This window comes from Homo sapiens, chromosome 19, assembly GCF_000001405.40.
Source record: "Homo sapiens chromosome 19, GRCh38.p14 Primary Assembly".
In the NCBI taxonomy this organism is placed as follows: Eukaryota; Metazoa; Chordata; class Mammalia; order Primates; family Hominidae; genus Homo; species Homo sapiens.
In genome coordinates this window covers 11,563,803-11,583,811 of record NC_000019.10, presented here as the reverse complement: position 1 = coordinate 11,583,811, position 20,009 = coordinate 11,563,803, and the positions used below count along the sequence as shown (strand labels likewise).

Genomic DNA, 20,009 nt, shown 5'->3' with positions numbered 1-20,009 from the left:
CTTGAACTCCTGAACTCAGGCAATCTGTCTGCCTCAGCCTCCCAAAGTGCTGGGATTACAGGCGTGAGCCACTGCGCCCGGCCCAAAAATCCATCTTTGTGGGTTCCTTTGTAAATGTGTAGTCAATTTAGAAATTTAGAAACACGGTTTCCCTTAAGCCTTTATTTAGTTACAATCACAACTAACATGTTACTTATACACCTGGCAAAGTGAAACATCAAAAAATTAATTCAGGGCCTGGCCTCAGGCCTGTAATCCCAGCACTTTGGGATGCCAAGGCAGACGGATCACTTGAGGTCAGGAGAATCGCTTGAACCTGGGAGACGGAGGTTGGGACGAGCTGAAGATCACACCACTGCGCTCCAGCTTGGGTGACAGAGTGAGTGAGACTCCATCTCAACAAAAAGAAAAAGAAATATCACTTTAAGAGGTCATTGGATGCATATTTGGGTCCGTTTATAAGTTTAGTGGATTGAAATTAACATTTTACATTTTATAAGTGTGATGCATTTTATTCTATACTCTTTTACTACTATAATAATAATTATTATTATTAATTTTTTTTTTGAGATGGAGTCTCGCTCTGTCACCCAAGCCGGATGGAGTGCAGTGGCGCGATCTTGGCTCACTGCAAGCTCCACCTCCCAGGTTCATGCCATTCTCCTGCCTCAGCCTCCCGAGTAGCTGGGACTACAGGCGCCCACCACCACGCCCAGCTAATTTTTTTGTATTTTTAGTAGAGACGGGGTTTCACCGTGTTAGCCATGTTGCTCTCGATCTCCTGACCTCGTGATCCGCCCGCCTCGGCCTCCCAAAGTGATGGGATTACAGGCGTGAGCCACTGCGCCCGGTCAATTATTATTATTTTTTAGAGACAGTGTATCAGCTCTGTCACCCAGACTGGAGTGCAGTGGTGCAATCATGGCTCACTGCAGCCTCGACCTCCTGAGCAATGCTCCCACCTCAGCCTCCTGAGTAGCTGGGCTACAGGTGCACACAACCACGCCCAGCTAATTTTATTTTTAAGAGATGAGGTCTCTACAAAAAGTGTTGGGATGACAGGTGTGAGCCACTGTGCCAGCTTATTCTTTAATCTTTTAATTTATTATTATTATTTTTTGAGACAGAGTCTTGCTCTACCACCCAGGCTAGAGTGCAATGGTGCGATCTCAGCTCACTGCAACCTCTGCCTCCCGGGTTCAAGCGATTCTCCTGCCTCAGCCTCCTGAGTAGCTGGGACTACAGGCACGTGCCACCACACCCAGGTAATTTTTTGTATTTATAGTAGAGATGGGGTTTCACCATGTTAGCCAGGATGGTCTCGATCTCCTGACCTCTTGATCCACCCGCCTCGGCCTCCCAAAGTGCTGGGATTACAGGCATGAGCCACTGCACCTGGCCTATTCTTTAATCTTTTTAAATGTCTCCACCAAGCAAACACCTTGAGAAGTCCTTATCAGTTATTAAAAATCTACAATGCAAACATACAAATAAAAGGAGAACAGTAAGTTCTCTTAAACATTCTGATACTACTTCTAAACTTAGCCAATAAACTGAGAATGAATGTTAATTTTTTAAATAAACAGGCCAGGGGCAGTGGTTCACACCTGTAATCCCAGCACTTTGAGGGGCTGAGTTGGGAGGATTGCTTGAACTCAGGAGTTCAAGAGCAGCCTGGACAAGGTGACAAATCCCTCTCTCTACAAAAAATACAAAAATTAGCTGGGTGTGGTGGTGTGTGCCTGTAGTCTCAATCCCCAGGAGGCCAAGGGGTGTGGGAGGATCCCCTGAGCCCAGAAGGTCGAGTCTGCAGTGAGCCGTGATCGCATCACTGGTCTCCAGCCTGGGTGACTCTGTTTTAGAAAAAGAAAAAAGAAAGAAAAAAAAAGCTTTCATTAACTGAAGACAGACTGAAAGCAAGAGAAACTGAAAGCAAGATAAATGAGTGGGTGGTTTTCTCAAGCACTGGTAAGTGCTGCAGAGAAAACTACAGCAACAGGAGAGTCAATGATGGGGGCAGGGTGGTGCATTTCAGATAATTTCAGATAAATTATCTTTTTCTTTTTTTTTTTTTTTTTTTGAGACAGAGTCTCACTCTGTCACCCAGGCTAGAGTACAGTGGCACGATCTTGGCTCACTGCAACCTCCGCCTCCCAGGTTCAAGCAATTCTCCTGCCTCGACCTCCTGAGTAGCTGGGACCACAGGTTTGTGCCACCACGCCCAGCTAATTTCTGTATTTTTAGTAGAGATGGGGTTTCACCATGTTGGCCAGGCTGGTCTCGAACTCCTGGCCTCAAGTGATCCACCCGGCTTGGCTTCCCAAAGTGCTGGGATTACAGGCGTGAGCCACCACGCCCAGACTCATTTCAGATAAATTAAAGGAACTTGAACACAATGGGTGACCTCAGTATCTGACTAAGGAAGACCCTTCCAGGCAGGGAGAACAGAAAGTGCCAAGACCCTGAGGCCAGAGTGTATCTGAGACAGTCAAGCAATGCGGAGGAGGTCAGAGGAGCAAGAAACAGGGAAAGCAGGATTGGCAGGAGGAAGGAAGGGAAGGGATTGGGTAGAGACAGCAGCGGAGAACAGGACCTGGATGTATTGGCAACAGGAGGAACTCACTCGTGGGGTTGTTGACATCTGAGATTGACACTGGTGTTGGGAAAATAGGAAAGGGTGGAGGTGGAGGGAGATTCTGAGTCACAGCCTGATCTAGCTCCACAGAAAATCAGCAGAAGAGAGTTCTCCTGGGTGAATGGAGAGAGAAGAGCTTATTCAGCACCCTGGAGGAGACCAGAGAGAGATAGCCAAGAACGCACAGGTTTTATTACATGCTCTGTGCAAGATCAGGTTTATTTTTTTCATTGTGCTCTCTCTCTCTCTCTCTCTCTCTCTCTGAGACAAGAGTCTAGCTGTGTTGCCCAGGCTGAAGGTCAGTGGTGCATTCGTAGCTTATTGCAGCCTCAAACTCCCAGGCTCAAGCGATCCTCCACCTCAGCTTCCTGAGTAGATGGAACCACAGGTGTGCACCACCATGCCTGGCTAATTTTTTTTTTTTTTTTTTTTTTTTTTGTAGCAATGTGGTCTCGCCACGATGCCCAGGCTGTTCCTGAACTCCCGGGCTCAAGCGATCCTCCCACATTGGCTGGGTTTACAGGCCTGAGCCACCATGCTTGGCCAGCTTTTTCAATTTAAAAAATATAGAAAGTGTTAATACAAATTAAAAAGTTATAAAATAGTGCCAATAGTATCCCATTTTTCCGAAGACAAACATAGGCAGAGAAAAATTAATGGATACTGTCTCTCTGGGCAGGGGTATTACTGGCTATTATAATCTTTTTCTTCGTGCATTCCAGAATTTACCAACTTTTCTACAAAGATCATGTAGCACAATAAGATAATAAACATAATTTTGTGTGATCTCAAAATACAGGAAGCATAGAAGCTTCCAAAACACGCCTGTACCCACCACGTGAAGAAACAGATGTTAACATTTGGTCATAATTGCTTCAGATTTCTTTCTTTTTTTTTTTTTCTGTTTTTTTTTTGGGGGGGACAGAGTCTTGCTCTGTCGCCCAGGCTGGAATGTAGTGGCATGATATTGGCTCAGTGCAACCTCCTCCTCCTGGGTTGGAGTGCAGTGGCATGATCTCAGTTCACTGCAACCTCTGCCTCCTGGGTTCAAGAGAGCACCTCCAGCTAATTTTTGTCTTTTTAGTAGAGACAAGGTTTTGCCATGTTGCCCAGGCTGGTCTGGAACACCTGACCTCAAGTGATCCGCTCACCTCGGCCTCCCAAAGTGCCAGGATTACAGGTGTGAGACACCACACCGGCTAAATAATAAGTTTTTAAAAAAACAGGAGACTGGCCAGGCATGGTGACTCACGCCTGTAATCGCAGAACTTTGGGAGGCTGAGGTGGGCAGATCACCTGAGATCGGGCATTGGAGACCAGCCTGGCCAACATGGAGAAACCCCGTCTCTACTAAAAATACAAAATTAGCCGGGCGTGGTGGTGCGTGCCTGTAATCACAGCTACTAGGGAGGCTGAGGCAGGAGAATCGCTTGTACCCGGGAGGCGGAGGTTGCGTGAGCCAAGATTGCGCCACTGCACTCCAGCCTGGGCAACCAGAATAAAACTGTCTCAAAAAAAAAAAAAACAAAAACAGGCCGGGCGCGGTGGCTCACGCCTGTAATCCCAGCACTTTGGAAGGCCAAGGTGGGTGGATCACGAGGTCAGGAGATCGAAACCATCCTGGCTAACACGGTGAAACCCCGTCTCTACTAAAAAATACAAAAAATTAGCCGGGCGCGGTGGCGGCGCCCGTAGTCCCAGCTACTCGGGGGTGCTGAGGCAGGAGAATGGCGAGAACCCGGGAGGCAGAGCTTGCAGTGAGCCGAGATCGCGCCACTGCAGTCCGGCCTGGGTGAAAGAGCGAGACTCTGTCTCAAAAAAAAAAAAACCAAACAAACAAACAAACAAAAAAACAAAACAACAGGAGAAGATGATGACAGACCTCACAAGAGCTTGGCCCCAGGGCTGAAACCCCACCCAGTGCTGTGGTTCTGCGGCTGTGGGCCCATGGGTGCCCCCAAAGGGTCCCAGGCAGATGGAGGCTCCTGGTTGGCGTGGAGGAAGGAAAAGGATGAAATCGGCTCCCCTGGCCACCCCTTCTAGCCCAGCTGCAGCTGCAGTCCGTGGGTCTGAGCCGACCCTTGGGGTTCATCGGCCCATTTTACAGATGCGGAGCCTACAGCCGGGAGGCGTGGCGGCTCTGGGCGGTGCAGGGTTCCGGGGCGGGGAGGCCGAGGCGCCCGCCCTCCCCGCCGGGGCTCACCTGGGTCAGCCCTGAGCCCTCGAGCAGGGCGGATCGGCCGCTGCCTGCTTAAAGCTGGGGCCGCCAGGAGTGCGATCGCCTGCGGATCTGCAGCTGGGCACCGGCCGCAACGCCCGCCCCGCGACGGCAGGTGAGATGCGGGCGGCCCCGTGGGAGGGGTCTCTGCCTGTCCTCGTCACCCACTTCCTTCCCGTTTGTTGCTGCTGCAGGGCTGGGAATGGGGGGGACCAAGCACTTCGCAGGGTGACCCGGGGAGATCTGTGAGCCAGTGGCCTCAGCGTTGAATGAGAGCTCTCTCCCGGGTCCGCGCTCGCAGGGACTGAAGGGACTCCTGAATGTCCGCGGGACGTGTCGCGGCGGCGCCCAGCACGGAGGAGGCAGGCAGGGAGGTGAGGAGCAGGTCAGACCGGCCGCAGGTGCAGGGCCTCCTGCCCTCCCAGGCTGCGGTCCCGTGGAGGGCCTGCAGACAGCTGCTGAGACTATGAGGGTCAGAGGTCTGTGGTCACGCGCGCTATCACCAGCTAGCTGCCTCCTGCCTGGTTCCTCCTGCAGGAATGGGAGTCTGGGGGGAGGGGAGGGTGTGGGCAGGACTTCCTGGAAAAGGGAAGCCCGTTGGTGTTTATGTGTGGGATGGAGAGAGGGCAGGGGGAGGACGGGGACACACGCGGAGTCCCCCACCCAGATGTTGTCAAACACAGCTCCCACACCAGACACGCAACCCATCCTAGAGATGCAACCCAGGCACACACACATGGACACACACAAAACTCCATCCATAGGGATTCCCACCCAGTGCCACGTGAGAACACAGGCGTGCATCGCAGACAAGCCACACAGGCCTCGCAGGCTCAGCATACATGTCTGCAGCAACACCATCAGGTACAGAGCCGAGGCCCAGGTAGGCATGCTCAGCTGCACGCAGGAAGCAAGACACACCCAGACACACACAGGTAAGCCCTTACTCAGAGAAAGAAGGTGCAGGAGATGTGTCTTGGGTAATCACAGCCACAGCCTCTCAAGTGTGCACACACACACACACTCACACTGAGATACACAGACACACAGAGATACCTGGACGTGTCAAGCCTACAGCACAAACAGGCCCCTGCAGGTCCACCCGGAGGCTGTGTGGGCCGAGGCTGCTGCACACGTGTGCCCAGATCCTCCCACCCCCACCCCAATCCCGTGTCCTGCTCCAGGGAAGTCCAGGGCTCACATGACCCAAGGGGAGGGCTCCCGGGACAGCCCTCGGAGAAACTGCATCATCCTCACTAATGATCCACTTCCTCCTCAGGGAATAAAGGCTCAGGGACCGGCAGTTCTACTCTAGAGCCCACCAGCCTCTCAGAGCCTCCGGTGACTGGCCTGTGTCTCCCCCTGGGTGAGTGCTGGGCAGGCTAGGTGGAAGGAGGGTGAAATGGGCCTGCAGGGCCATCTTGGTACAGCTCGCCCTCTCACAGACCGCGCCCCCCTTCCCTAAGCCAGCTTGTGCAGCCTTGTGCAGCTTGTGTGTCCTGAGAATTAGGGCACCAAGGGGTTCCCGCAGGGGCAGCCTGCAGCAAGCAGTCTCCCTCTATCTCAGGGCAGGCGGGGGTCTCAAGGCCTCCCTGCCCTTGTCACAGCCCGGGCCACCTATGCTTGTCTCTCTTCTCCCAGATGGACATGTGGACGGCGCTGCTCATCCTGCAAGCCTTGTTGCTACCCTCCCTGGCTGATGGTGCCACCCCTGCCCTGCGCTTTGTAGCCGTGGGTGACTGGGGAGGGGTCCCCAATGCCCCATTCCACACGGCCCGGGAAATGGCCAATGCCAAGGAGATCGCTCGGACTGTGCAGATCCTGGGTGCAGACTTCATCCTGTCTCTAGGGGACAATTTTTACTTCACTGGTGTGCAAGACATCAATGACAAGAGGTTCCAGGTCTGTGCCCAACAGAGTGGGGCAGGAGGTGGGGGCGGGCAGTGGGGAGAAGCCGCCTTACCTAGTGACCTTCCTTTGGTGAGGGCAGAGGGAAGGTGATGGGGCACCTTTGGGCGCCGGGAGCATTCAGTGTCTCCCTTATCCTGACTTGGTGGGAGGATCGGCATAGCCACTGACCCCAGGGAAGAGGCCTGCCCTATCTGTTTGCTACAGGAGACCTTTGAGGACGTATTCTCTGACCGCTCCCTTCGCAAAGTGCCCTGGTACGTGCTAGCCGGAAACCATGACCACCTTGGCAATGTCTCTGCCCAGATTGCATACTCTAAGATCTCCAAGCGCTGGTGAGCCACCCTCAGCCCTGCCTTCCGAGATCCTCACATAGCAGGGACACAGGGGCCCTGTGGCTTGAGCTGACCCTGGGACTTCTGCGCCCAAGATGTGCACCCACGACCTCTATCCCCTCCACAGGAACTTCCCCAGCCCTTTCTACCGCCTGCACTTCAAGATCCCACAGACCAATGTGTCTGTGGCCATTTTTATGCTGGACACAGTGACACTATGTGGCAACTCAGATGACTTCCTCAGCCAGCAGCCTGAGAGGCCCCGAGACGTGAAGCTGGCCCGCACACAGCTGTCCTGGCTCAAGAAACAGCTGGCGGCGGCCAGGGAGGACTACGTGCTGGTGGCTGGCCACTACCCCGTGTGGTCCATAGCCGAGCACGGGCCTACCCACTGCCTGGTCAAGCAGCTACGGCCACTGCTGGCCACATACGGGGTCACTGCCTACCTGTGCGGCCACGATCACAATCTGCAGGTGAGGGCCCTGTGGGTGGGGTGGGAGCTGGGTGAGGGGGGTCCCCATCCCAGCTGATGTCCACATGGCTGGGGTCCTCCTGCTGTTTGAGGGTCTCCTGTGGCCTTCAGAATGTCTAGACTGTCCCTCAAATCTTGCTGTCTAACCAGGAAAACACTCCAAAGCCAGAATAATATCTTCGAATTGCCAATTTCTTTCTTTCTTTCTTTTTTAAGCTCTTTTTTTTTTTTTTTTTTGGAGACAAGGTTTCATTGTTTTTCACCCAGGCTGGAGTGCAGTGGTGCAATCGGGGCTTACTGCAGCTTCAATCTCCCGGGCTCAGGTGAACCTCCCACTTCAGCCTCCAGAGTAGCTGACACTACAGGCATGGGCCACCACATGCAGCTAATTTTTGCTTTTTTTTTTTTTTTTGAGAGGGAGTGCAGTGGCACGATCTCAACTCACTGCAACCTCCGCCTCCTGGGTTCAAGCAATTCTCCTGTCTCAGCCTCCCAAGTAGCTGGGATTACAAGCATGGGCCACCAAACCTTGCTAATTTTTATATTTTAGTAGAGACGGGGTTTCACCATGTTGGCCAGGCTGATCTCGAACTTCTGACCTCAAGTGATCTGCCCGCCTCGGCCTCCCAAAGTGCTGGGATTATAGGCATGAGCCACTGCACCTGGCCCTTGCGCATTTTTTTTGTAGAGGCAAGGTCTCACTATGTTGCCCAGGCTGGTCTCAAATTCCTGGGCTCAAGCAATCCACCCCCTCAGCCTCCCAAAGTGCTGGGATTACAGGCATGAGCCACCACACCTGGCCACCAATTTCTTACTAAGTGCTCTACCTATGAAATAGGATTAATACACTCCTAAAAGTCAGGAAATTGAAGCCAGGAGGGGTTACATACCTCAAGGTGACTCTGTGGTTAGGGCCAGATCGAGCCCTGGACCTTAGGCAGGGCTCTGCTCAAAGCTGGGTCTCCACTGACCCCTTGTCCTCCATCCTCAGTACCTGCAAGATGAGAATGGCGTGGGCTACGTGCTGAGTGGGGCTGGGAATTTCATGGACCCCTCAAAGCGGCACCAGCGCAAGGTCCCCAACGGCTATCTGCGCTTCCACTATGGGACTGAAGACTCACTGGGTGGCTTTGCCTATGTGGAGATCAGCTCCAAAGAGATGACTGTCACTTACATCGAGGCCTCGGGCAAGTCCCTCTTTAAGACCAGGCTGCCGAGGCGAGCCAGGCCCTGAACTCCCATGACTGCCCAGCTCTGAGGCCCGATCTCCACTGTTGGGTGGGTGGGCCCTGCCGGGACCCTGCTCACAGGCAGGCTTTTCCTCCAACCTGTGGCGCTGCAGCAGGGCAGGAAGGGGAAACACAGCTGATGAACTGTGGTGCCACATGACCCTTGTGGCACAGATGCCCACGTATGTGAAACACACATGGACATGTGTCCCAGCCACAGTGTTATGCTCTGTGGCTGGCTCACCTTTGCTGAGTTCCGGGGTGCAATGGGGGAGGGAGGGAGGGAAAGCTTCCTCCTAAATCAAGCATCTTTCTGTTACTGATGTTCAATAAAAGAATAGTTGCCAAGGCTGAACCAGTGCCACTGGTGTGTTATGTTCTCCTGGTTAGAGTGGCTGGGCTCCCCTGAGCTGCTGTTCCTTGCCTCCATCTCTTACCCCATCCATGACCAAGTTGCCTTATCCATGGATGTGATTATAAAACCCGGCCAGGCACGGTGGCTCACACCTGTAATCCCAGCACTTTGGGAGGCCGAGGTGGGCGGATCACGAGGTCAGGAGATCGAGACCATCCTGACTAACATGGTGAAACCCCGTCTCTACTAAAACTACAAAAAAATTAGCCAGGCGTGGCGGCGGGTGCCTGTAGTCCCAGCTACTTGGGAGGCTGAGGCAGGAGAATAGTGTGAACCCAGGAGGCGGAGCTTGCAGTGAGCCAAGATAGCGCCACTGCACTCCTGCCTGGGTGAAAGAGCGAGACTCCATCTCAAAAAAATAAAAAATAAAAAAAAAATAAAATCCAAGCAGAGGCCAGGCTCAGTGGTTCACATCTGTAATCCCAGCACTTTGGGAGGCCAAAGCGGGTGGATTATTTGAGGTCAGGAGTTCAAGATCAGCCTGGCCAGCATAGTGAAACCCCATGTCCACTAAAAATACAAAAAGTTAGTCAGGCTTGCTGGCGAGTGCCTGTAATCCCAGCTACTTGGGAGTCTGAGGCAGGAGAATCACTTGCATCTGGGAGGTGGAGGCTGCAGTGAGTCAAGATTGCGCCACTGCACTCCAGCCTGGGCAACAAGAGTTAAACTCTGCCTGAAAAAAAAAAATTGGCCAGTTGTGGTGGCAGGAGCCTATGGTCCTAGCTACTCAGGAGGCTGAGGCAGGAGAATTGCTTGAACCCAGGAGGCGGAGGTTGCAATGAGCTGAGATTGTGCCACTGTACTCCAGCCTGGGTGACAGAGCAAGAATCTGTCTCAAAAAAAATAAGTAAATAAAATAGGCCAGGCACGATGGCTCACACCTGTAATGCCAGCACTTTGCAAGGCCTAGGTGGTCGGATCACTTGAGGTCAGAAGTTCAAGACCAGCCTGGCCATCATGGTGAAACCCCATCTCTACTAAAAATACAAAACTTATCTAGGCGTGGTGACACATGACTGTAATCCCAGCTACTTGGGAGGCTGAGGCGAGAGAATCACTTGAGCCTAGGGGGTTTGCGGGTAAAGGGGGTGGAGAGGTGAGGGCGGAGATTGCAGTGAGCTGAGATTGTGCCACTGCACTCCAGCCTGGGTGATAGAGCAAGACTCTGTCTCAAAAAAAAAATTAATTCAATAAAATCCAAGCAGAAAGAAGGGTACAACATAAAGCAAGTCTTCCTCCACCCCAGGGGCAACTAATATTAATCATTTTCTTTCTCTATATAGTCTATGCCTCCATAATCAAAACATTCCCTTTATTATTTTCTTTTTTTTTTCTTTTTTTTTTTTTTTGAGATGGAGTCTCACTCTGTCACCAGGCTGGAGTGCAGTGGCGTGAGCTCGGCTCGCTGAAACCTCCAACTCCCAGATTCAAGCAATTCTCCTGGCTCAGCCTCCTGAGTAGCTGGGATTATAGGCACGCGCCACCACGCCCAGCTAATTTTTTTTTTTTTTTTTTTTTTTTTTGAGATGGAGTCTTGCTCTGTCGCCCAGGCTGGAGTGCAGCGGCGTGATCTCGGCTCACTGCAAGCTCTGCCTCCCGGGTTCACACCATTCTCCTGCCTCAGCCTCCCAAGTAGCTGGGATTACAGGCGTCTGCCACCACACCCGGCTCGTTTTTTGTATTTTTAAATAGAGATGGGGTTTCATCGTGTTAGCCAGGATGGTCTCAATCTCCTGACCTCGTGATCCGCCTGCCTCAGCCTCCCAAAGTGCTGGGATTACAGGAGTGAGCCACCGCGCCTGGCAATTTTTGTATTTTTAGTAGAGATGGGGTTTCACCATGTTGGCCAGGATGGTCCCAATCTCCTGACCTCATGACCTGCCCGCCTCAGCCTCCCAAAGTGTTGGGATTACAGGCGTGAGCCGCCGTGCCCGGCCTATTATTTCTTTAGGGAGAGGGGTCTTGCTATATTGTCCAGGCTGGAGTGCAGTGGTGCAATCATAGCTCCCTGCAGCCTCAAACTCCTGGGCTCAAGAAATCCTCCCACCCTAGCCTCTCAAGTAGCTAGGACTACAGGCACGCACCACCACTCCTAACTAATTTTTAGATTTTTTTTTTTTGTAGAGATGGGAGTCTTGTTCTGTTGCCCAAACCGGTCTTGTACTCCTGGGCTCAAGCAATCCTCCTGCCTCAGCCTCCGAAAGTGTTGGGATTACAGGCATGAGCTATTGCTTCCAGACTGTTTTTCAGAGACAGAGTTTTGCTATGTTGCCCAGGCTGGTCTTGAGCTCCTGGGCTCAAGTGATCCATCTCAGCCTCCCGAGTAGATGAGATTACAGGGGCATGCCACTGCAAACACATTCCCATTTTTTACACCAAAAGCAACACAATATACACATAGTTCTGCACACATTCCCGTTACTGCACTCCACTTTTTTTTTTTTCTTTTTTGAGATGGAGTCTCACTCTGTCACCCAGGCTGGAGTACATGGGTGTAATGTTGGCTCACTGCAACCTCCATCTCCTGGGTTCAACCGATTAAGCAATTCTCCTGCCTCAGCCTCCCAGGTAGCTGGGATTACAGGCCCCCACCACCATGCCTGGCTAATTTTGTATTTTTAGTAGAGACGGCATTTCACCATGTTGGTCAGGCTGGTCTTGAACTCCTGACCTCAGGTGATTCACCTGCCTTGGCCTCCCAAAGTGCTGGGATTACAGGCATGAGCCACTGTGCCCAGTCCTGAATTGTTTCTTGCATAAGATCCAAGAATGCTCTCTTGGGGTCTGGATCGAGACCCCTTTCCTGTAACACTTCGAACAATTTTGCAATCCTCAATGTCATAACAAATGACCTTGTCTACGCATTACCTATGGGGCAGACATGTTTGCAGGATTCCCAGGAACAAGGAAAAAGATCGCACTTCTTTTTGACAGCCACGAAGCTTCTGCCTTATGTCACTGGCTCCTTGCTAGTGCCCCTTGCAGGATTTTATTGGTTTTGGGGGTTGTTTTGAGAGACAGAATCTTGCTCTGTCACTCAGACTAGAGTGCAATGGCAGGATCATAGCTCACTGCAGCCTCAAATTCACAGGGTCAGGTGATCCTCCTGCCTCAACCTCCCAAAGTGCTGGGATTGCAGGCGTGAGCCAAAGTGCCAAAGTGCTCAGCCTCATTGAGGTTTTTTTTTTGAGATGGAGTCTCACTCCATCAGCCAGGCTGGAGTGCAGTGGCACGATCTTGGCTCACTGCAACCTCCGCCTCCCGGGTTCAAGCAATTCTCTGCCTCAGCCTCCCAAGTAGCTGGGACTACAAGCACACGCCACCATGCCCAGCTAATTTTTGTATTTCTAGTAGAGATGGGGTTTCGCCATCTTTGCCAAGCTGGTCTTGAACTCCTGACCTCATGATCCACCCACCTCGGCCTCTCAAAGTGCTGGGATTACAGGCGTGAGCCACCGCACCCAGCCGTGGTCTTTTTAAATCTTTCCTTCTAGGCCAGGCATGGTGGCTCACACCTGTAATCCCAACACTTTCAGAGGCCGAGGCAGGTGGATCACCTGAGGTCAGGAGTTTGAGACCAGCCTGACCAATATAGTGAAACCCCGTCTCTACTAAAAATACAAAAATTAGCTGGGCATGGTGGCGTGTGCTTGTAGTCCCAGCTACTTGGGAGGCTGAGGCAGAGAATTGCTTGAACCCGGGAGGCGGAGGTTGCAGTGAGCCGATATGACGCCACTGCACTCCAGACTGAGCAACAGAGCGAGACTCTTTCTCAAAATACATAAATAAATAAATAATTGTTTCCCTCTTACCAACAAGGCTGCAGTGGTGGTCCCTGGACCAATGCTGTGAAAGTAATGTGTAAGAAAACTTCTAGAAGGAGAATTATCTCAGGGCTGGGCACAGTGGCTCACACCTGTAATCCCAGCACTTTGAGAGGCTGAGGCAGGCAGATCACTTGAGGTCAGGAGTTGGAGACCAGCCTGGCCAACATGGTGAAACCCCATCCCTACTAAAAATACAAAAAATTAGCTGGGTATGGTGGCACGTGCCTGTAATCCCAGCTACTGAGGCTGATGCAGGAGAATCGCTTGAACCCAGGAGGCAGAGGTTGCAGTGAGCCGAGATCACACCACTGCAATCCAGCCTGGGAAACAGAATGAGACTCCGTTTCAGGGGAAAAAAAAAAAAAAAAAAATCTCAGGGCCTGTTTTTCTTATACTGAAAGCAGAGTGCTAGACCTGATGTGACAGTTGCAGGGGAGCCCAGTTCCCCTCTGAGGGAGAGTTAAGTAACACCCACCCCCAGGCAACCCAGGCCATTAGCGCTAGGCAAGGCACAGGAACCCCTCCTTTGGCCCACCCTCAACCGCCACTTGCAACTGCTACACGGCAGGGACCCAGTTGTTTGGCTCCAGCTGCCTGCCTAGCGGAGTGAAATGAATCTGGACAAAATGTAAACAGGGCTGAGTGCAGTGGCTCATGCCTGTAATCCCAGCACTTTGGTAGGTAGGGGCAGGCAGATCACTTGAGGACAGGAGTTCAAGACCAGCCTGGCCAATATGGCAAAAACCCACCTCTACTAAAAAATACAAAAGAATGAGTCAGGCCTGGTGATGCATGCCTATAATCCCAGCTATTTGGGAGGCTGAGGCATGAGAATCGTTCTTGTCTGGGAAGTGGAGGCTGCAGTGAGCTGTGATCACGCCACTGCACTCCAGTTTGGGAGACTATCTCAAAAAAAAAAAAAAGTAACTGAGGTTACTTCTGGGGAGAGGCACTTGGTGAAATTGTCACCTTTCATTTGTTATTTTACTTATTTTTTTTTTTTTGAGAAGAAGTTTCCCTCTTGCTGTCCAGGCTGGAGTGCAGTGACGTGATCTCAGCTCACAGCAACCTCTGCCTCCCAGATTCAAGCGATTCTCCTGCCTCAGCCTCCTGAGTAGCTGGGATTACAGGCATGCGCCACCACGCCTGGTTAATTTTGTATTTTTTAGTAGAGACAGGGTTTCTCCATGTTGGTCAGGCTGATCTTGAATTCCCGACCTCAGGTGATCCACCCGCCTAGGCCTCCCAAAGTGCTGAGATTACAGGCATGAGCTACTGCTCCGGCTTATTTGTTACTTTGCGCGCGCGCGTGTGTGTGTGTGTGTGTGTGTGTGTGTGTGTGTGTATCTTGGTATAATTTGCTACTTTATAGATGTCAATACTGTTGAATTTGTTACAAGGTGTATGTGTTACTGTTACAATTTTTTGGTTTTTTTTGAAACAGTGTCTCACTCTGTTGCCCAGGCTGGAGTGCAATGGTGTAATCATAGCTCACTGCAGTTTCCACCTCCTGAGCTCAAGGGATCCTCCTGCCTCTGCCTCCTGAGTGGCTGGGACCACAGCTTCACCCCACCACTCTTGGTTAATTTTGTGTGTGTGTGTTTTGTAGAGATGGGGTCTTGCTATGTTGCCTAGGCTGGTCTCAAACTCCTGACCTCAAGTGATTCTTCCTCCTTAGCCTCCCAAAATGCAGGATTACAGGTGTGAGCCATCATGTCTGGCCAACTGTTATAATTAAGCAGTGATCTTTCCAAAATGCAATCCTGGCCAGGGGTGGTGGCTCACACCTGTAATCCCAACACTTTGGGAGGCTGAGGCGGGCAGATCACTTGAGATCAGGAGTTCGAGACCAGCCTGATCAACATGGCAAAACGCTGTCTCCATTAAAAATACAAAAATTAGCTGGCATTGTGGCGGGCGCCTGTAATTCCAGCTACTCAGGAGGCTGAGACAGGAGAATCACTTGAACCCAGGAGGTGGAGGTTGCAGTGGGCCGAGGTCGTACCACTGCACTCCAGCCTGGGCAACAGAGCAAGACTCTGTCTCAAGCAAACAAACAAATCCCCAAAATGTAATCCTGAGTTTGTTCCAGCTGCCATTTACCGTCACTTCTGATCCTGGCCCATGAGGCAGGGGCCAGAATCATCCTTGCTTCTCAGAGGCTATTACAGAAGCTCAGACGTGTTTTTGTGGGTTTTTATTTTTTAATTTTTTTTGGTACAATATTTATCTTAGATTGGACGGCTTAACCACTGTGACCAAGGTAATTTCTAGGAAGTGGCAGTCCCTCAATCTTAACCACAACAGTCTAGGGAGGTCACAGCCGCGCTCTTCTCACTGACTCAGAGGCACCAGACAGGCAGGAGTCTGAATCAGAGGTCACCATCATAGCCCAAGGACCCCGTTCTCATGGCCCAGAGCACAGAAAGAAGAAGTGACACATCCAATGTCACACGAAGACTGAGTGGCAGGGGAGGGGGGATTGTAACTCAGGCTCCCTCCTCTACATCAGCCAGACACTTCTACCGAGCACCAAGGACCAAAGCTCTGTGCCAGGCAGCTGGGGACCCAAGGACACTAGGAGGAATAAATCAGGGTGGGCGCTGGCCCTCAGGGAGCTTCTGTCTTGCTGAGGAGACAACACCAGCCAGCACTCAGCCATCTTAATTAATTATTTTATTTTTTTCTTTACTTTTCTGTTTTTTAGACAGGGTCTCACTCTGTTGCCCAGGCTGTCAGGCTGGAGTACAGTAGTGTGATCACAGCTCACTGCAACTTCCGTCTCCGGGGCTCAAGCAATCCTCCCTCCCACCTAAGCCTCCTGAACAGCTGGGACTACAAGCACACACCACCACACCTGGCTAATTTTTTTTTTTTTTTTTTTTTTTTTTTTTTTTGAGACGGAGTCTCGCTCTGTCACCCAGGCTGGAGTACAGTGGCGCAGCCTCGGCTCACTGCAAGCTCCGCCTCCCGGGTTCACGCCATTCTCCTGCCTCAGCCTCTCCGAGTAGCTGGGACTACAGGCGCCCGCCACCACGCCCGGCTAATTTTTTTTTTTTTTTTTTTTTTAGTAGAGACGGGGTTTCACCGTGAGACAGAGTCTTGCTCTGTCGCCAGGCTGGAGTGTAGTGGCCTGATCTTGGCTCACTGCAACCTCCACCTCCCAGGTTCAATTGATTCTCCTGCCTCAGCCTCCCGAGTAGCTGGGACTACAGGTAAGTGCGCCACCATGCCCAGCTAATTTTGTATTTTTAGTAGAGACGGGGTTTCACCATGTTGACCAGGATGGTCTCGATCTCCTGACCTCGTGATCCACCCACCTCGGCCTCTCAAAGTGCTGGGGTTACAGGCGTGAGCCACTGCACCCAGCCAATTTTTGTATTTTTTGTAGAGAGGGGGTTTCACCACTTTGTCCAGGCTGGTCTTGAACTCCTGGGCTCAAGCAATCTGTCCATCTCGGCTTCCTGAAGTGCTGGGATTATAGCCATGAACCACCGCACCCGGCCTAATTTATTTATTTTAAGAAATGGTGTTCGGGCATGGTACATCACGCCTGTAATCCCAGCACTTTGGGAGGCCAAGGCGGGCAGATCACCTGAAGTCAGGAGTTTGAGACTAGCCTGGTCAACATGGTGAAATCCCTCCTCTACCAAAAAATACAAAAATTAGCCAGACACGGTGGTGTGCACCTATAACCCTAGATACTTGGGAGGCTAAGGTGGGAGAACTGCTTGAACCCGGGAGGTGGAGGTTGCAGTGAGTCGAGATCACACCACTGCACTCCAGCCTGGGCAATGGACTGAGACTCTGTCTCCAAAAAAAAAAAAAAAAATGCCGGGCGCGGTGGCTCATGCCTGTAATCCCAGCGGTTTGGGAGGCCGAGGAGGGCAGATCACGAGGTCAGGAGATCGAGACCATCCTGGCTAACACGGTGAAACCATCTCTACTAAAAACACACGCACAAAAAAATTAGCCGGGCGTGGTGGCGGGCGCCTGTGGTCCCAGCTACTCGGGAGGCTGAGAGGCAGGAGAATGGTGTGAACCTGGGAGGTGGAGCTCGCAGTGAGCCAAGATCGCGCCACGGCACTCCAGCCTGGGCGACAGAGCAAGACTCCATCTCAAAAAAAAAAAAAAAAAAAGAGAGATGGAGTCTCCCTAGGTTGCCCAAACTGGTCTTGAACTCCTGTCCTCAAGTGATCCTCTCACTTTGGCCTCCCAAAATGCTGGGATTACAGGCATAGCCACCACACCAGGTTCAGCCATTTTTGGAAAGATGCCTTTTAACCTGCAAGAAACGAGACAGCAGAGTCCCTCAGGCAAGTGGCAGGGTTTCATCTCTTCTCGATCCTCCTGAGCAACCAACCACTCCTGATTTCAGCTGTCACAGACACTATCATCTTGCCACTCTGCTTGTCAAACTAGAGGCTGAAAAAGGGACTGGCATTCTCATGCAGCCAGTAGGCTGTCTGTCACTTGACACTCAGGCCATGTCCACTTCCTAAACAGCATCCCAGGCCAAGAATCATGAATAAGAAGGTGAGATACCTGCCTTACCAATAGCAAAACATACAGTCATCAAAATAGTAACACACTGGCTCAGGGTCAGGTGTGGTGGCTCACACCTGTAATCCCAGCACTTTGGGAGGCTGAGGCAGGTGGATCACCTGAGGTCAGGAGTTCAAGACCAGCCTGGCCAACATAGCGAAACCCTGTCTCTACTAAAAATACAAAAATTAGCCAGGTGTGATGGTGGGCACCTGTAATCCCAGCTACTCGGGAGGCTGCTGAGGCAAGAGAATCACTTGAACCCTGGAGGCAGAGGTTGTAGTGAGCCGAGATTGCGCCACTGCACTCCAGCTTGGGTGACAGAGCAAGACACCGTCTCAAAAAAAAAAAAAAAAGGACATTGACATTGACTCAGGGTAAGGTGTGGTGGCTCATACTTGCAATCCCAGCACTTTGGAAGGCTAAGATGTGAGGATCACTTAAGGCCAGGAATTCAAGACCAGCCTGGGCAACATAGCAAGGCCCCAACTTAAAAAAAAAATACATAAATTAACCAGGCATGGAGGTGTACGCCTGTAGTTCCAGCTATTTAGGAGGCTGAGGTGGGAAGATCCCTCGAGCCCAGGTGCTGGAGGCTACAGTGAGCAATGATCACACCACGGCATTCCAGCCTGAGCCTGGATGATGGAGTGAGATCCTATCTCTAAAATAAAAAAAAATAAAAAAAAACCAAAACAAAACATTGGCTCGGGAAAATATCAAGAGAGAAAGTAGAAACAAATACAAAAACAATATAGCATTGACTCAGGAAAATACTGAGGGAATCCAAGAACAAATTCAGGAAGATTTATTTAAGAACATAATATAGGTTCAAGGTCGCATTGCAACTTCATGGAAAAGGAGGTGTTATTTGCCTTGTCAGTTTGCACTAGAATGAGACAAAACCTGAACCCTACCTTAGACCACATACAAAAATAAATTCCGAAGGAATCAAATATTTCAGGGAGGCAGGATGTGGTGGCTCATGCCTGTAATCCCAGCACTTTGGGAGGCCATGGTGGGTGGATTGCTTGAGCCTAGGGGTTCAAGACCAGCCTGAGAAACATAGTGAATCCCATCTCTACCAAAAATAAAAAATAAAAATAAAAAAGTAAACAGGCATGGAGGTGCTTATCTGTAGTTCCAGATACTCAGGGGGTTGAGAGGGTGGGGTGGAGAGGGTGGGGCAGGGGCTAAGGTGGGAGGATCACTTGAGCCTGGGAGGTCAAGCCTGCAGTGAGTCATGATCATGCCACTGTACTTCCGCCTGGGCCACAGAGTGAGACCCTGTCTCAAAATCAATCAAGCAAGCAAGCAAGCAAGCAATCACAGGGAAAGATGCAAATGAACATCCACACAAAGACCTGTGGAGGGAAGGCAAGATTTCTCCTCTACCCTCTTAGATCTCTGGCGGGGCCTAAGACTTAAACTGACATTTGATCAATTAATAGGAGAAAAGCATAGAAATATATTTAACATAAGTTCTATGGGACATGGGAGCCCTGAAAAGGAAGACCCAAAGAAGCAGTTACAGTCAAACACTTATTTACTGTATTAGACAAACAGTAGAAAATTATGGATGGACATGGTGGCTCATGCCTGTAATCCCAACACTTTTGGGAGGCCAAGGTGGGCGGATCACCTGAGGTTGGGAGTTTGAGACCAGCCTAATCAACATGGAGAAACCCCACCTCTACTAAAAATACAAAAATTAGCCAGGCATGGTGGCACATACCTGTAATTCCAGCTACTTGGGAGGCTGAGGCAGAAGAATCACTTGAACCTAGGAGGCAAAGGTTGCAGTGAGCTGAGGTCGCACCACTGGACTCTAGCCTGGGCAACAGAGCCAGACTTCTCAAAAAAAAAAAAAAAAAAAGTAGTAAATTATAGATGGGCGTGGTGGCTCATACTAGTAATCCCAACACTTTGGGAGGCCAAGGTGGGAGGATTGCTTGGACCCAGGAGTTCAAGAACAGCCTGGACAACACAGGGAGACCCCATCTCTAAAACAACAGAAAATAAAATTAGCTGGGTGGCACGCACCTGTAGTCCCAGGTACTCAGGAGGCTGACGTGGGAGTTTCGCTTGAGCCCAGGAGTTTGAGGCTGCAATCAGCTATGATTGTGCCACTGTACTCCAGCCTAGGCAGCAGAGTAAGGCCCCGTCTCTAAATAAATATATAAATAAATTTTAAAATTATAAATAAATATTATAAATAAAGTTTTAAAAGGGTAGTAAATTATGAAAATGTGACAAGACAAAGGGGTTTGGGCTAGAGCAGTTAATGGTGGAAAAATAACTAGAAAAATAAGGGTTCATTTAACAAGGTTTGTTTGTACATTTTTTCCTCAGCTTTGACTCCCTGTCTTCTGGTGATAAGAATTGTACGCTCTAGGGCTGGGCGCGGTGGCTCAGGCCTGTAATC

The 20,009-nt window shown here is 50.9% G+C and overlaps 1 protein-coding gene and 1 long non-coding RNA gene across 10 annotated transcripts, besides 8 other annotated features; one reads left to right on the top strand and one right to left on the bottom strand.

The window, feature by feature from the left end:
* On the bottom strand, window positions 148–8,563 carry LOC124904638 (uncharacterized). The gene is made up of 2 exons (XR_007067140.1): window positions 8,459–8,563; window positions 148–395 (listed from the first exon to the last, which is right to left on the bottom strand). It is a non-coding gene; the product is annotated as an uncharacterized LOC124904638 (long non-coding RNA).
* Window positions 1,528–1,693: a silencer, noted in NCBI's record as "fragment chr19:11692934-11693099 (GRCh37/hg19 assembly coordinates)". NCBI's record gives its function as "represses an EF-1alpha promoter that drives an FKBP-Casp9 reporter gene in an ReSE screen in phorbol 12-myristate 13-acetate-treated (for megakaryocytic differentiation) K562 erythroleukemia cells {active_cell/tissue: K562(+PMA)}" and the evidence as "EXISTENCE:reporter gene assay evidence [ECO:0000049][PMID:32094911]".
* Window positions 1,829–2,028: an enhancer, noted in NCBI's record as "active region_14027". NCBI's record gives its function as "activates an Ori minimal core promoter by ATAC-STARR-seq in GM12878 lymphoblastoid cells {active_cell/tissue: GM12878}" and the evidence as "EXISTENCE:reporter gene assay evidence [ECO:0000049][PMID:35858748]".
* Window positions 4,708–4,897: a silencer, noted in NCBI's record as "silent region_10121". NCBI's record gives its function as "represses an Ori minimal core promoter by ATAC-STARR-seq in GM12878 lymphoblastoid cells {active_cell/tissue: GM12878}" and the evidence as "EXISTENCE:reporter gene assay evidence [ECO:0000049][PMID:35858748]".
* On the top strand, window positions 4,837–9,152 carry ACP5 (acid phosphatase 5, tartrate resistant). Of its 9 annotated transcripts, none has more exons than NM_001439235.1 (8): window positions 4,837–4,968; window positions 5,155–5,227; window positions 5,618–5,788; window positions 6,133–6,219; window positions 6,495–6,755; window positions 6,969–7,096; window positions 7,224–7,569; window positions 8,560–9,152. In NM_001439235.1, exons 5-8 carry the CDS (start codon window positions 6,495–6,497, stop codon window positions 8,800–8,802), a joined length of 978 nt encoding a protein of 325 aa, NP_001426164.1. In that variant the 5' UTR covers window positions 4,837–4,968; window positions 5,155–5,227; window positions 5,618–5,788; window positions 6,133–6,219; the 3' UTR covers window positions 8,803–9,152. The 9 variants fall into 9 exon arrangements, with proteins under 9 accessions (NP_001426164.1, NP_001426165.1, NP_001104505.1 ...); NM_001439236.1 differs by having other exon boundaries at window positions 5,048–5,227; NM_001111035.3 differs by lacking the exon at window positions 5,618–5,788.
* Window positions 5,457–6,068: an enhancer, noted in NCBI's record as "H3K4me1 hESC enhancer chr19:11688559-11689170 (GRCh37/hg19 assembly coordinates)". NCBI's record gives its function as "activates a minimal SCP1, AML or CMV promoter by ChIP-STARR-seq in primed H9 embryonic stem cells {active_cell/tissue: H9 hESC(primed)}" and the evidence as "EXISTENCE:reporter gene assay evidence [ECO:0000049][PMID:30033119]".
* Window positions 5,848–5,987: an enhancer, noted in NCBI's record as "active region_14026". NCBI's record gives its function as "activates an Ori minimal core promoter by ATAC-STARR-seq in GM12878 lymphoblastoid cells {active_cell/tissue: GM12878}" and the evidence as "EXISTENCE:reporter gene assay evidence [ECO:0000049][PMID:35858748]".
* Window positions 6,069–6,681: an enhancer, noted in NCBI's record as "H3K4me1 hESC enhancer chr19:11687946-11688558 (GRCh37/hg19 assembly coordinates)". NCBI's record gives its function as "activates a minimal SCP1, AML or CMV promoter by ChIP-STARR-seq in primed H9 embryonic stem cells {active_cell/tissue: H9 hESC(primed)}" and the evidence as "EXISTENCE:reporter gene assay evidence [ECO:0000049][PMID:30033119]".
* Window positions 15,390–15,479: an enhancer, noted in NCBI's record as "active region_14025". NCBI's record gives its function as "activates an Ori minimal core promoter by ATAC-STARR-seq in GM12878 lymphoblastoid cells {active_cell/tissue: GM12878}" and the evidence as "EXISTENCE:reporter gene assay evidence [ECO:0000049][PMID:35858748]".
* Window positions 15,890–15,939: a silencer, noted in NCBI's record as "silent region_10120". NCBI's record gives its function as "represses an Ori minimal core promoter by ATAC-STARR-seq in GM12878 lymphoblastoid cells {active_cell/tissue: GM12878}" and the evidence as "EXISTENCE:reporter gene assay evidence [ECO:0000049][PMID:35858748]".